The sequence below is a fragment of the Homo sapiens genome, chromosome 4 (assembly GCF_000001405.40).
Source record: "Homo sapiens chromosome 4, GRCh38.p14 Primary Assembly".
Taxonomy (NCBI): domain Eukaryota; kingdom Metazoa; phylum Chordata; class Mammalia; order Primates; family Hominidae; genus Homo; species Homo sapiens.
The window spans coordinates 167,607,011-167,607,884 of record NC_000004.12 but is presented as its reverse complement, the minus strand read 5'-3'; the positions used below and the strand labels follow the sequence as shown (position 1 = coordinate 167,607,884).

The 874-nt window shown below is 27.9% G+C and overlaps 1 annotated feature.

Moving 5' to 3' along the window:
- Positions 202 to 371: an enhancer, noted in NCBI's record as "experimental_76084 CRE fragment used in MPRA reporter constructs". NCBI's record gives its function as "activates a minimal promoter by MPRAs in K562 erythroleukemia cells, with activity observed for both the introgressed and non-introgressed 4:168528750 variant alleles {active_cell/tissue: K562}" and the evidence as "EXISTENCE:reporter gene assay evidence [ECO:0000049][PMID:34662402]".

Below are 874 nucleotides of genomic sequence, written 5' to 3'. Positions count from 1 at the left end.
GTGGGATAATATCAAAAAATCTAACATATGCGTAACTCAAGATACAGAAAAAAAGAGGGAAGGTAGCAGAATATTTGGATAGATAACCGCAAACAATTTTCAAAAGAATCATACATAAAATACATCAAACTGAAAAAATACAGATCGTTTCAAAAGAAACAAATGCAACAACAGCAAAAGCATTAATAACAAAAAATTCTAGACATGGTCCAATTGCTGGAAATCAAATACAAAAAAACAATCTTGAAGACAGAAAAAAGATAGATCTCATATAGAAGAACAAAGATAAGAATTATAGAATTTCTCATCAAAATTAAGCAAGCCAGAAAACAACGGAGTGTCATTTAACTGACATTTTGAGGTGGTTAATGAAAAACAAAATTTTATCAACAAAAATGCCAGTGAAAATGCTTTAAAAAATGAAGGCAAAAGAAAGACACACAGACCAATGGCCAGAGTAGAGAGTAAAAAATAATAAAAAGTAAAAATAGAGTTAAAAAAATTCAATTGATTTTTAACAAATTTGCTAAAGGAATTTAATGGGGATAGGATTTTTTAAAGGAAATTGGCACTAAAAAATTGGGCACCTACAAGTAAAATAAATAAAACTCAATCAAACTTTGTGTCAAGTTCCATATTAACATGAACTGTATCATTGATTTAAAACTAGAACTAAACTAAAATACGAAAATTTCCAGAAAACACATTGCAAAACTTATTGAGACCTTGGGAAAACTGAAGCTTTCTTAGCACACCAAAACACAATATAAATTTTAAAAAATATTTATTACACTTGATCTCAAGTTTCATTTTTGAAACGTAAGAAAACGAAAAAATGCATATCTGAGAAAGGATTTGTATTCAGAATATACAA